This window comes from Homo sapiens, chromosome 13, assembly GCF_000001405.40.
Source record: "Homo sapiens chromosome 13, GRCh38.p14 Primary Assembly".
NCBI lineage: Eukaryota > Metazoa > Chordata > Mammalia > Primates > Hominidae > Homo > Homo sapiens.
The window spans coordinates 108,234,408-108,250,141 of record NC_000013.11 but is presented as its reverse complement, the minus strand read 5'-3'; positions in this window follow the sequence as shown (position 1 = coordinate 108,250,141).

The following is a 15,734-nucleotide window of genomic DNA, read 5'->3' as shown; positions in this document are numbered from 1 at the left end:
AACTGTAGGTTGTCTTTTCACACTTTTGATAGTGTCCTTTGAAGCATAATTTTTAAATCAAGCCCAATTTCTGTTTTTCTTGTTTGTTTTGTTTTTGTCACTTACGTTTTTGTCATGATATCAAAGAAACCATTGTCTAACCCAAGGTCACAAAGTGATGCCTATGTTATCCTCAAAGAGTTTCATCATTTTAGCTCTTAAATTTAGGTCTTTGCTCCATTTTGATTCAATTTTTTGGATGGCATGATGTAGAAATCCAGATTCATTCTTTTGCATGAATATTAACATTACCACTATTTATTGCAAAGACTTTCCTTTCCCCATTGAAGTGTCCTGGAACTCTTGCCAAAACATCAATTGAATGTAAATATATGATTGTTTATAGAATTTCAACCCTAGTCCATTGATTTATGTCTATTCTTATGCCTGTATGTCTTGATTATTGTAGCTTTGCAGTAGGTTTTAAAATAAGCATAGATAAGATCTCTAATTTTGTTCTTCTTTTCTAAGATCATTCTGGCTATTCTGGGTCCCTTGCATTCATGTATAAATTTTAGGATCAGCTTGTCTATTTCTAGAAAAATAAACAAAGCACCAGCTTCGATTTTGATAGGGGAACATATTGGTCTATCTTTGGAGAGTATAGTAGTCTTCCCTTATCTGTATTAGGGCTGCCATAATAAATAACCAAAAACTTAGAGACTTAAAACCACAGAAATTTACTCTCTCACAGTCCTAAATGAGAGAAGTCTGAAATAAAGGTGTAAACAGGGCCATACTTTCACTGGTAGTTTCTAAATGATTCATGGGAATGTTTGGGGTTCCTGGGCTTGAAGCTGCACAACTCCAGTGTCTGCCTTGATTGTCACATGGCGATCGTGTGTGTGTGTGTGTGCGTGTCTATGTGACTTCATGTGGTGTTCTGCTCTTTATGTGTATATGTATCCATTTCTCTTCTACTCTTATTTATAAGGACACCAGTTATATTGAATTAAGGGCTCATCCTTCTTCAGCAGGATCTCAACTTACATTTTAATTATATTTTCAAAGACCCTAGTTCTATATACGGTCACATGCATAGGTTCTAGAAATTAGAATTTCAGTATATCATTTTTGGCATAAACAAATCAATCCTCAATACTTCCCATCATATTGGATTTTTTAACAATATATGGAAATAAAAGTAATATTCCATCTTGATCTTCAACCCTGCGTCCTTATTGAATACGTATAATAGTTCCAATGTTTTTTAGTGGATTTCTTTATGGTTTTCTATGTACAAGATCATATGATCTGCTAATATAGTTTTACTTCTTCCTTTCTTGTCTATATGCTTTGTTATTTTATTTTCTTTCCTAACTGTCCTGAATAGAACCTCTAGTAAAATGTGGAATTAGAAGTGACAAGAGTATATATTCTTGTCTTGTTCCTGATCTTAGGGGGAAGATTCCAGTCTTTCATCATTGGGTCTGATGTTGGCTGTATTTTCTAAATGCTTATTATGATATTGAGTTAGTTCCTGTCTATTCCTAGTTTTTTAACGGTTTTTTGTTTTGTTTTGTTTTGTTTTAAGGAGATAGAGCCTTTAAGGAGGTAATTAAGGTTAAATGAAGGCATAAGGGTGGGCTGTAAACCCATAGTACTGGTGTCCTTCAAAGAAGAAGAGACAAGAGAAATCTCTCTCTCTCTCTCTCTCTCTCCCTCACTCCCTCCCTCCCTCCCTCCCTCCCTCCACAGAGGAAAAGCCATGTGAGAATACAGTGAGAAGGTGATCAACTACAAGTCAGGAGGAGAACCCTCACCAGAAACTGAATTTGTTGGCACCTTGATCATGGACTTTTAGCTTTCAGAACTGTGAGAAAATGTCTATTTTTTAAGCTAATCAGTCATGTGAGCCCGAGTGGAGTAAAACATATGGTGTATTGCATTAGTTAATGCTTAGATTTTAAACCATCTTTGCATTCCTGTGATAAATGCCACTTGGTCATGGCAATTGATTCTTTTATATATTGCTGGATTCAGTTGGCTGGTATGTTATGAGGATTTTGTACCTATATTTATATGGGTAGCTTGATCCTTAGTTTTCTGTCTTGTAATTTCTTTGTCTGGCTTTGGTATCAGAGTAACACTAACCTCATAGAATAATTTGGAATATGTTCACTCATCTTTTATTTTTTGGAAGAGTTTGTGTAGGATTGCTGTTAATTCTTCTTTAAAGATTTGGAGCAATTCACTAATGAAGGATCTGGAATTAGAATTTTCTTTGTTGGATGGATTTTGATTATTTATTCAGTCTCTTTACTTGTTTCAGGTCTATTCCGATTTTTTATTTCTTCTTCAGTCAGTTTTGAGAGCTTGTATCTTTCTACAAATTTTGTCCCATTTGATCTAAATTATCTAATTTGTTGATTGTTGATGGTACAGCAGTCCTGCCCTTATTTGTCATTTCACTTTCCATAGTTCCAGTTACCTGCAGTAAATTGCAGTCCAAAAATATTAAATAGAAAACACCAGAAATAAACAATTCATAAATTTTAAATTGCACACCATTCTAAGTAGTGTGATAAAATCTCATGTCATCCTGCCTCACTTTTTTTTTTTTTTTAATAGAGACAGGGTCTCACTGGAGTGCAGTAGTGCAATCATAACTCACTGCAGCCTTGAACTATTGGACTCAAGTGATCCTCCAACCTTAGCCTCCCCAGTAGCTGGGACTACAAATGTGTGTCATCACACCTAGTCAATCCCGCTTCATCTTGCCCAGGACATAAATCATACCCTGTGCTGCATATTATACCCACACATTAGTCAATTAGTTGCTGTCTTGCTTATCAGATCATCCTGACATCCAACCATTGATATTGTCGTGGCTCAGTGATCTGAGATAACCCAAAGCACATGGTCCTTCTAACATTACCAGAGGATCTGTAGTAGCCTAACACTATGCCACAACACACAAGTCATTCACCTCATTTTCTCTCAGTGGGTAGGCAGCTCATCATCTTGCATTATCACAAGAAGAATAAAGGCAAGTACAGTACAATAAGATATTTTGAGAGAGAGAAACAGACTACATTTGCATATTTTTGTTATAGTATATTTCTATAATTATTCTGTTTTTATTAGTTATTGTTAATCTCATGCTGAGCGAAATTGATAAATCTATCACAGGTATGTATAATAAGGAAAAAATATAGTATATGAAGAGTTCAATATTATCTGTGGTTTCAAGCATCCACTTGGGATTTTGGAACATATCTCCCACAGATAAGTCGTTACTACTACATTTCTTTAAATCTTTTAATTTCAGCAGCAATGTCCCCTCCATTCCTGATGTTATTAACATAATTATTCTCTCTCTCTCTCTTTTGTTTCATCAGTCTAGTAAAAGGTTCTTCAACCTTATTGGTCTTTTTCAAAGAACCAACTTTTTGTTTCACTGATTTTTATCTATTGTTTTACTATTCTTTATTTCATTAATTTCAACACTAATATTTATTATTTTTAATCTGCTTGCTTTGTGTTCAATTTGCTCTTCTTTTAGTGTCTCAAGATGGAATATTGGTCCATCAATTTAAGAACTTTTAAAAAATACAGTATTTTACACTTATAAATTTCCCACTAAGCTGTATGCCTGTTTTTAGCTGCATATTAAGTTTTGGTGTGTTTTATATTTATTTTCATTTATCTTAAAGCATTTTCTAATTCTCTTTGTGATTTCTTCTTTTACCCACTGGTTATTTAGCAGTGTGTTCTTGAATTTCAATATATTTGCGAGTTTCTCAAATTTCTTTCTGTCATTGAATTCTAGTTTCAGCCCATTCTGCTTGGTGAATATGCTTTGTTATTTCTATCCTTTTAAATTTTCTAAGATTGGTTTTATAACTTAGCCTATGGAATCCTGAAAGATCTTCCATGTCTGCTTGAAAAGAATATGTATTCTGCTGCTTTTGTGTATTTTATCTGTGTATGTGAAGTCTATTCGGTTTATAGTTTGCATAAGTTTTATATTTTCTTGTTGGTCTTCTGCTGATTTGTTCTATCCATTATTGAATGTGTAGTACTAAAGTCTATGACATGTTGAATTGTCTATTTTTTTCTTTCACTTTTGTCAGTTTTTCTTTTGTGTATTATAGGGCTCTATGGTTAGGTGTATATATGTTTACAATTGTTATATCTTTCTGATGGATTGACCCTTTATCAATATAAAATAACCCTCCTTATCTTTGGTAATATTTTATTTTTACAATCTATCCTGCCTGTCTTAATTTTATATTGGTACTATAACAAATTTTTTAAGATTTTGTGGCTTAAAATGTCAATTCATTCTCTTACTTCTCTTACTTGTCTGCAGTCAGATATCAAAAATCAGTTTCATGAGCTAAATTCAAGATATTGGTAGGCTGGTTCCCCTGCAAACTCTGAGAGAATTAGTTCACTTGCCTTTTTTAAGCTTCTAGTAACTGCCTGCATTTCTCGGTTTGTAATTCCTTCCTCATATCTCTACAATCTCTTGCTTCTGTTGTTGTATCTCTAACTTATCACTTTGACATCCTGGTACCCCTCATAATGACTCTTGTTACTACATGAAGCTCACTTGATAATCCAGCATAATCTCCCCATCTCATCTGGGGAATATTCAGCCATCCTACCACTGTGTCTGATAGAAGTATAGCCACTTAAGTTTTCTTATAGTTACTGTTTGCATTTGTTATATCATTTACCATTATTCTACTTTAAACCTATTTGTATCTTTCAATATAAAGTATGTCCTCTAGAGAGTACATTGCTGAATCCGATTGCCCACCCTAATTGATTGTCAGCGATCTCTGACTTTAAATTGGACTATTTAATCCATTTGCATTTAATGTTATCATTTGGTATAGTTATATTTATGTCTGCCATTTTAGTTTTTGTTTTCTACATGTCTCATATCTTTTATTTTCTCTATTTCTCCTTTACTGCTTTACTTTGCATTAATGTTTTTGAGTGTAGCGTTATTTAATTCAATTCCTTTAATAATTTTTTCACGATGTATATATTTTTTCACTATATTTACTATATTAATATACATATATATTTCTTTTAAACCGGGTTGACCAAGCTGGAGAGCAATGGCACAATCATTGCTCACTGCAGCCTCAAATTCCTGAGCTCAAGCCATCCTCTTGCTTCAGCCTCCTGAGTAGCTTGGACTACAGGTGTACACCACCTCACCAAGCAAATTTTATTCATTTATTTATTTTTGTAGAAAATGGGGACTTGCTATTGCCCAGGTTTTTCTCAAACTCCTGGCCTCAATTCACCATCTTGCCTTAGCCTCTCAAAGGGCTAGAGGAGCTACCACAACTGGCCTCATAATATATTTTTAAGTGATTTCCTTATTGATTTCTCTAAGACTTACCATACTTATCATAGCTTATCAGAATCTACTTGAAATTTATACTAACTTAATTCCAGTGAGATACAGAAATGTAACTTCTACATAGCTCTCTTCCCTCTTTCCTCTTTTGATGATATTGTTATACATGTAAACATCTATGCATATTATAAAACCAAAACCAAAATAAATTCTTATAATTTTACTTATACAATTTTTATATTTACTAAGGAGACTTAGGGATAAAAGCAAAGCAAGTATATTTATAGAGTTTGTTATAATAGTCTTCTTACTTACCATTTTAGGTCCACTTTTTTTCCCCTGTGGATTCAAGTTACTATCTGATGTCATTTCATTATTCCATGGCAGCTTTCCTCCTACCCACTTCCTTTGTTTTTATCATCAAATTACATATTTATTTGTTGTAGACTGAATAATACAATTATGCATATATATTTTATGCAAGTTATTTACATAATTTAAGAAAAGGAGAATAAATATGCATGTATACTGTCTTCTCTAATTACATAATTATCTTTACCAGTGCTTTTTGTTTTTTTGTGTGTGGATTCAAATTACCATATATGATTACTTACTTTCAGTGTGAATGACTTCCTTTAGTATTTCTCGCAAGGTGGGTCCTGCTCACAAAAATTATGTTCTTGTTTCTAGGAATATTTTGTTTCATGTTCATTTCTGAAAGTTTTGTTGAATATAAGATGTTGTTTGACAGTTCTCTTTCAGTACTTTGAATATTTAATACCACTACTTTCTGTCTTCCTCTAATCAATTCTGAAGATTAGTCAGCTGTTAATCTTATTGGGGATTTCTTTATACATGATGAGTTGTTCTACTCTTGCTGCGTTCAATATTTTCTCTCTTGTTTTTCAGCATTTTTCCTTTGCTGTTTCTAGGTATGGATCACTTTGTGCTCATCCTACTTGGAGTTCCTTGATCTTGGGTGTATAGATTGATGTTTTTTATCAAATTTGGGGAATTTTTGGTCATTATTTCTTTGGATATTTTTTCTGCTCTTTTCTCTCCTCTCTTTCTGGCACTACCATTATGTGCATGTTGGTGCAGTTCTTTGAGGCTCTGCTCATTTTTCTTCACTCTTCTTTTGATCTCTGTGTTTCAGATTGCCTAGTCTTGATCAAGTTTATATAAACTTTATGAAGTCGATATTCAAGTTTGCTGATTACTTCTGCCAGTTTGATTCTGCTGTTAAGCCTGTTTAGTGAATTTTTCATTTCAGTGATTGTGCCTTTCAACATCAGAATTTCCAGTTAGTTCATTATTTAAAATAATTTCTATCTCTTTTGATACTTCTCTGATGAGACAAACAGAGACAGTTTGATGTAAAACCGTTTGATGTAAAAACTGTTTTTACAAAAAGGAAATTATCCCATGCCATAGCCATCTTCCAAGTGTTTACTTTGCTCTAGAATATGACTGTAAAACTGGAGTATCTATAGCATTTAAATTGATCCAAGACACATACATTTAAACACTGCTGACAAACTGTCTTTTTTTCCTTATGACTGGATTAAAGAACCAGGTAAACAAAAGTTGAATGTGCATTTATCCATAATGTACTACAATGAGCATTCTTATTCAAAGTAAATTCATATATTTTAAAGAAGACATCCTATACTTTTGATCAACCTTATGGGAATCTAAAATGCTTTTGATTTCTATATACTCGGAATCATAGAAAGCCCTTGCTAGGCCGGGCACGGTGGCTCATGCCTGTAATCCCAACACTTTGGGAGGCCGAGGTAGGCGGATCATGAGGTCAGGAGATCGAGACCACCCTGGCTAACATGGTGAAACCCCGTCTCTACTGAAATACAAAAAATTAGCTGGGCAAGGTGGCAGGCGCCTGTAGTCCCAGCTACTAGGGAGGTTGAGGCAGGAGCATGGCATGAACCCAGGAGGCAGAGCTTGCAGTGAGCCGAGATTGCGCCACTGCGCTCCAGCCTGGGCGACAGGGCGAGGCTCCATCTCAAAAAAAAAAAAAGAAAAGAAAGCCCTTGCTGGATGCGGCCACTAGAACCAACTGAGCCAAACGCCCACTTTTCACAAGGCCCTGAAAGGTGAAATATCATCCCAAGGTCACACAACTTCTTAAATTACAGAAGAAAGAATCACTTTCAATAGCAGTTCAATCATATTTACAAGCTCATTAAATAAAATGAGACTTTTTATGAGAAAACTGTGACATTTGATAGAATTGTAAACCACATTTGTAGGCAAAAAATAAACGTTTTATATAGCTTGACTTTAAATTGTTAACCGCGTCACTATTTTGACAATCCAAAAACAAGGTGGAAAATATAAGGCTCCTTCACCACATACTATATTTAACTTTCTCATTTTATATGTGGAACAGTGAAGATTAGATTGCAGGCTCTTTAATTTCAGGGTTCCTCTGTGTAAAGTATACTTGTTGACATCTTACAAGGTAATTCTAATCTAATCTAATATTCAGCTTGTCTTCCTCTTATTGGACCTAAGAAGCACAGCACCTTTGGTGAAAGAGTCCAGTGATATTCAAAGGAACCATGTAATGTTACCGGATGGACTATAGGCCTCAGCTTTCTCCAAAATGCTGCTGATGATCGAGGCACTCCTACCATGCCCCTCACTTCTTTCTGAATCCATACCAGAAGCCCAGTTAATGTCCACATTGCTACCAACAGTCTCTTTAAGGCAATCTACATTTTTCGTAGTACATTTCTCAAAATTCTTCTAGCCCTGTTCACTAACTCCAAAGCTATTTCCCCATTTCCTCTACCAAAATCTGTATTATCTCCCTATGAAAGCCGTAATAAATTACCACAATCATGGAAGATTAAAACAATGGGGATTCATTCTCTGGTCATTCTGGAGGTCCCAAGTCTGAAATTAAGCACCAGCAGGACCACCCCCTCCAAAGGCTTCTGGGGAGGAGTCTTTCCTTGCTTCTAGTTTCTGTGGCTGCTGGTGTTCCTCGGCTTCCTTGTCTCGTGATCTCATCACTGCAGTCTCCACCTCCATCTTCACATATCCTTCTCCTCTCTGTGTGTGTCAAATCTCCCTCTGCCTCTCTCTTATGGCAGTTATGATTGGATTAAGAGCCTACCCAGATAGTCCAGGATAATCTTCCCAAGTCAAGAACCTTAATTTTGTCACATCTGCAAAATATTTTTCCTTACAAGGTAACATACAGATTCCAGGGATTAGAACCAGCTACCTTGGAGCCATTATCCAGCCAATACAGAAACTAAAGAGATTTCGTAACTAAATGCAACTTGTGGTTTGAAACTCAGTCCTTTTAATATAAAGGACATTATCAAGATAACTAGCAAGACTTGAAAGGGATCTTAGGGATCAAGAAATTATTTGTTAATTTCTTGATTGCAATGGTTGCATTATGAATGTATAGCATATTTTTAGTAAATACACATGGAAATATTCACAGGTGATGGTGCATTAGTTCAGGAACTTATTTTCAAAATGATTTAAAAATAATTCTTTTACTGTACTTCCAACTTTCTGTAAGTTTGTGATTATTAAAAACAGTAACAACAATAAAAAATGTGAATGGAGAAAAAAAGAAAGAAGAGGGACCGGATTGAGGGACTACTAATATCTCCAGAGGAAGAAGAGGTTCAAGCAGAAAGGGAAATTCAACAAAATGCTATAGTACTGTTTAATCCCAAGGCATATCAAAAAGTGTGCTCTTTTCTGAGCTGCATTGTAATCTAAGCCTATATTTTTCTCACATTCCAGTATTCCTACTCCTTTGCATTTTTTTCCATCTCTTAGTAGGAGATAGCACATTTTGCTAAAATGACCTTCTTCTGAAAAATTCTCCATGATTTGCCTTTTCTCTCTTCGGGTTTTACTCACATAAATAAGAATTAGAGGGCAATGAATTATTCATTAATATGTTTTCTTGAATTTGAGGCTCTAAGCATAAATAATGATTCTAATAAGGGAAATAAATTGCACTATTAGAACAAAAATGGTTTATGTTTTAGATTAGCTACTCCCCTTATAAAATGGAACACAAATCATTGTTATTAAACATATATATTCCAAATATAAGGTAAAATTTGCACATGGAAAAATCTGAATTCTCCTTCCCTTCAAAAAAGCCTTCTATTGTTTTTCTTTTAAGTGAAAAACAGCATAAAACATTATTTTGGCCACCTACCCCAACTACCTTGTATTCCAATAAACAAAATGGCACGTAAACCAACCTTTAATGATTGCATTTCAATTATTAACATGATTGTTTTAATTACATGTTTGTGTTTTAATGATAAGTGTAACCATCACCTTGTACTGCGTTATCACCTTTATGATTACCTTGAGTTTAATACCCAGATTAATCCAACGGCATACTGCAGCCTTTACAAGCTTGTGGGGTGCACAGTGATGCAAATGGAGACTACTGAAAGTTCTAGAGCTTTCCACTCCTGCAGAAAGTGACTTTGGAGTGCAAATGTATTTAAATATTAATATATTTCCATCAATATCATTATGTAGTGGAATATTTTCTGTATGCCAGGAATTTTTTCATTCACTAAATGTTTATTGAATGTCAGCTATGTGTCAAAGGCATTGGTCTTTCCATGGAGGAAAGAGTATTGTGCCCACCTTCACAAAATTTATAATCTATTGGGTGAAACTCTATACTTGGTGCCTGTGTGTCTATAACTCAAGGTGTTAATGACTAGTTAATGACTAATGGCAGGATATCCAAATATAGGTAATGGTGAAATACAGTAATAGACTGGGAGGGATGGCAGGCTTGAAAAACTATTAAATCATATAAACAGAACAAAAGACAAAACCACATGATTATCTCAATAGATGCAGAAAAGGCCTTTGACAAAATTCAACAACGCTTCATGCTAAAAACTCAATAAATTAGGTATTGATGGGACGTATCTCAAAATAATAAGAGCTATCTATGACAAACCCACAGCCAATATCATATGGAATGGGCAAAAACTGGAAGCATTCCCTTGGAAAACTGGCACAAGACAGGGATGCCCTCTCTTACCACTCCTATTCAACATAGTGTTGGAAGTTCTGGCCAGGGCAATCAGGCAGGAGAAGGAAATAAAGGGTATTCAATTAGGAAAAGAGGAAGTCAAATTATCCCTGTTTGCAGATGACATGATTGTATATCTAGAAAACCCCATTGTCTCAGCCCAAAATCTCCTTAAGCTGATAAGCAACTTCAGCAAAGTCTCAGGATACAAAATCAATGTACAAAAATCACAAGCATTCTTATACACCAATAACAGACAAACAGAGAGCCAAATCATGAGTGAACTCCCATTCACAATTGCTTCAAAGAGAATAAAATACCTAGGAATCCAACTTAAAAGGGATGTGAAGGACCTCTTCAAGGAGAACTACAAACCACTGCTCAATGAAATAAAAGAGGATACAAAGAAATGGAAGAACATTCCATGCTCATGGGTAGGAAGAATCAATATCGTGAAAATGGCCATACTGCCCAAGATAATTTATAGATTCAATGCCATCCCCATCAAGCTACCAATGACTTTCTTCACAGAATTGGAAAAAACTACTTTAAAGTTCATATGGAACCAAAAAAGAGCCCGCACCACCAAGTCAATCCTTAGCCAAAAGAACAAAGCTGGAGGCATCATGCTACCTCACTTCAAACTATACTACAAGGCTACAGTAACCAAAACAGCATGGTACTGGTACCAAAACAGAGATATAGATCAATGGAACAGAACAGAGCCCTCAGAAATAATGCTGCATATCTACAAATATCTGATCTTTGACAAACCTGACAAAAACAAGCAATGGGGAAAGGATTCCCTATTTAATAAATGGTGCTGGGAAAACTAGCTAGCCATATGTAGAAAGCTGAAACTGGATCCCTTCCTTACACCTTATACAAAAATTAATTCAAGATGGATTAAAGACTTACATGTTAGACCTAAAACTATAAAAACCCTAGAAGAAAACCTAGGCATTACCATTCAGGACATAGGCATGGGCAAGGACTTCATGTCTAAAACACCGAAAGCAATGGCAACAAAAGCCAAAATTGACAAATGGGATCTAATTAAACTAAAGAGCTTCTGCACAGCAAAAGAAACTACCATCAGAGTGAACAGGCAACCTACAAAATGGGAGAAAATTTTCGCAACCTACTCATCTGACAAACGGCTAATATCCAGAATCTACAATGAACTCAAACAAATATACAAGAAAAAAACAAACAACCCCATCAAAAAGTGGGCAAAGGACATGAACAGACACTTCTCAAAAGAAGACATTTATGCAGCCAAAAAACACATGAAAAAATGCTCACCATCACTGGCCGTCAGAGAAATGCAAATCAAAACCACAATGAGATACCATCTCACACCAGTTAGAATGGCAATCATTAAAAAGTCAGGAAACAACAGGTGCTGGAGAGGATGTGGAGAAATAGGAACACTTTTACACTGTTGGTGGGACTGTAAACTAGTTCAACCATTGTGGAAGTCAGTGTGGCGATTCCTCAGGGATCTAGAACTAGAAATACCATTTGACCCAGCCATCCCATTACTGGGTATATACCCAAAGGACTATAAATCATGCTGCTATAAAGACACATGCACACGTATGTTTATTGCGGCTCTATTCACAATAGCAAAGACTTGGAACCAACCCAAATGTCCAACAATGATAGACTGGATTAAGAAAATGTGGCACATATACACCATGGAATACTATGCAGCCATAAAAAATGATGAGTTCATGTCCTTTGTAGGGACATGGATGAAATTGGAAATCATCATTCTCAGTAAACTATCGCAAGGACAAAAAACCAAACACCGCATATTCTCACTCATAGGTGGGAATTGTACAATGAGAACACATGGACACAGGAAGGGGAACATCACACTCTGGGGACTGTTGTGGGCTGGGGGGAGGGGGGAGGGATAGCATTAGGAGATGTACCTAATGCCAAATGACGAGTTGATGGGTGCAGCACACCAGCATGGCACATGTATACGTATGTAACTAACCTGCACATTGTGCACATGTACCCTAAAACTTAAAGTATAATAATAATAATAATAAAAAGAAAAACTATTAAATCAGCTCTCATTCATCTCCAGGGCCACTTTTAAGAAAGAATTAGGATTGTTTATTGTCTTACTCACTTTGGGCTGCTGTAACAAGTATCAGAGACTAAATGGCTTAAACAGAAATTTATTTCTCACATTTCTGGAGGCTAGAAAGTCCAAGATCAAGGTGCTGGCAGACCCGATGTCTGGTAAGGGCTCTCTTACTGATTGGTAGACAGCTATCTCCTTGTATCCTCACATGGCAGAGAGAGGTAGGAGTAGCCCTCTTCCTTTCATGAGAGCCCTCATTCCTCCACACTCATAAGGTCACTGCCCCGCAAATCCCCACCTCCTAATACCACTGCTTTGGGGATTAGGATCTCACACATGAATTTTGGGAGAGCACAAATAGTCATTCCATAGCATTTACTGTCTCCAGAGATTTTGCCCTTCCCACACACTCCCTAATGCAGTCTGTCCTGTGTTTTGAGACATGCATGCTCTTTGCATAGAGGAGCCTGGAACTCACTCATACCTCAAGAAATAGGCTCTGGAACAAAAGGCTAAGAAAAATGCCAGTGTCACATTAATTCAACTGTCTGTGTCATTTCATTTGTTTAAAAAGTAATGATGATGATAAATTTTTAATAAGGGAACCATGGGTACAGGGTTAAAAGACGCCGGGCGCGGTGGCTCATGCCTGTAATCCCAGCACTTTGAGAGGCCGAGACAGGCGATCACGAGGTCAGGAGATCGAGACCATCCTGGCTAACATGGTGAAACCGCGTCTCTACTAAAAATACAAAAAATTAGCCGGCCTGGTGGCGGGCGCCTGTAATCCCAGCTACTCGGAAGGCTGAGGCAGAATGGTGTGAACCCGGGAGGCGGAGCTTGCAGTGAGCGGAGATCCCGCCACTGCACTCCAGCCTGGGCCACAGAGCAAGACTCCGTCTCAAAAAAAAAAAAAAAAAAAAAAAAAAAATTACGGAAAGAAATCAAAACTGGGGACAGTCACTATCTCCCAAACTGGATGTCCCACGACAAGGGCTTCTTTGCCCTTCCACTAATGTGCCCACCTGACTTTCTGGTTCTTCTTGTCCTATCCAACAGATCTACTTGATACTGCCACACTTGTTGATCTCCACTGATCTCTGTTTCACATCCACCATCTGTACTCTTTGCTCCTCTCCTCCCTGAGCTTACTGTTACTAGGCTCTTCTGCTCTGCTTAAGAAGGAGCCCTCAGGGAACATACGACCTGCACAATTATTGCCCCTCTTATTTTCTGCAGACCCGTGTAATTACGGGTAACTTCCAATGTTTCCACTTTAATTATTGCTTTGGGCTGTGTGTAACTTCCAGGTTTGTTGCTATTTTAGGTCTAAACTTTTAAGAAATGTAAAGTATTAAAGTAATGGCCTTCGTGCCTTTCTTCTTAAAGATGGAAGTTTGGACAAACTTTATAATCAGTGTGCACATTCTATACAGAAAATGTATCTAGTACCACAACATGCTCAGCACTGTGCCAGGTGCCATGTAAGACAGGAATCACATGACATTCCTGTCAGATCAAAAGACAATATATTATAAAGAAATGAATTGAATATAATCAGGTATCAAAATACAAAATGCTTTGAATGCAATGGGTGTTCAGAAAAAGAAAAAAAAAAGCTACTGGTAGAGCTACCATAAATTTGGTCAGGGACTCAGAGGCCTAGAGAGGTGGGAGGGAGGCACTGGATCTAGAGGTTAAAGCACCAGATATAAATAAATGCACAGAAGAGGAGTAAGTTTGATTCAAGAAAGAGAAAGAACGGATACCCTTTACAAGGTTTAGTTTGTAAAGGACCCCATAGAATGAGAACTCTGACTTTGATCTACTGAGAAATGCAGCCACTGAAAACCACTGGATAGGGAATGATAAGGAGTTTTTCTGGTAAGTTACAAAGAATGGGGCAATGATCCAGTTCATATTCAGTTATTAAGAATAAACGACAAAAAGGAGTCAGAACAATACTTTGAACACAAAAATCACCCAATAAAAATGTTGACTACTATGAAATAATGTCAGGGACTAGTATGGTAGTAGTGGAAATGTTGGGAAAATAAATCTTATTGGAAAAACAGCAAGATGTGTTTCAAAATATCAGGAACAAAAAGACAACTCCAAGATTTTTTGAGAGGATAACTCTTATCTAGATTTTCCTATAGAAACACACATTTAATGACTTTGAAAACATGTACTTTACTGTATAATACTTATTTCAATTCACAGCCAATTCTTTTGGATTCCTAAATAACTGACCAACTTGTAACCCATTTCAATATTTCTAATCTATTCCAACATGAACAAAATTTTCAAATTGTTTGGGTAAATTAGCAAATGAATAGCTGTCCTCGATTTAGAATTAGAGACCTGGATTGACATCTTGGTTCACTCTAGGTAACCTTGAGCATGTTACTGAACCACTCCGAGCCATTTCTTACAAAATGGGACTACAAATCACTCTAAGGTTTGTTGTGAGGATTCAATGACATTAACACATTCAACACCTGGGCCTTATATTTGAAAATACTCAAAAAATTTCTTTACCTTCCTCTCCCCTTAGTAAGATAGGAGTTATAGTCTCTAGCCAGATCTAATTGTTCATGCTTTTTAGTATGTAACAGAATGTAATGAAAGAGTTGGAGAGTGAAATGGGAATGTGAAAAAAACTTATCTTTCAAATTTAAGAAATAGTAATCTAAAAATGACTTCACCCTGGGATTCAAGTTGGCTATCTTTCAGGGTAGTACATGAGAGACCCTAGCTCCCACTAGATCTACCCATACAAAGATGGGCTCCAATACGTGAATTCTTCATCTTCCCTTTCAGGGGACCATTTAAGATTCATCTTACACTTCCTATGATCCAACTCCTTCTGACATATTCAAGCATGCACATTTCTTGTTAGGAAAAGCAAGGTATAGGCCCCTAAAGGCTGAGTTAGTATCAGGTCATTTTTTGATCATTAAAAACCATTAACTAAAATACAAACAAGAGGGGGGGAAAAGCAGAATTTTTAAAAAAAAGCATTTTATGAAATCTGAAGGCAACATAATTATGAAGTTAAAATGTATTCATTCCTAGATTCAATTAACTAAAGAAATGCATTAGGGATTAGTCATTCACCAGTGGTTTATGTATAGTTTTAATATTAGCCTAAATTAAATATATGTAAGAGGATAATACTCTCCGGGGAAGGAAATATAAATCTA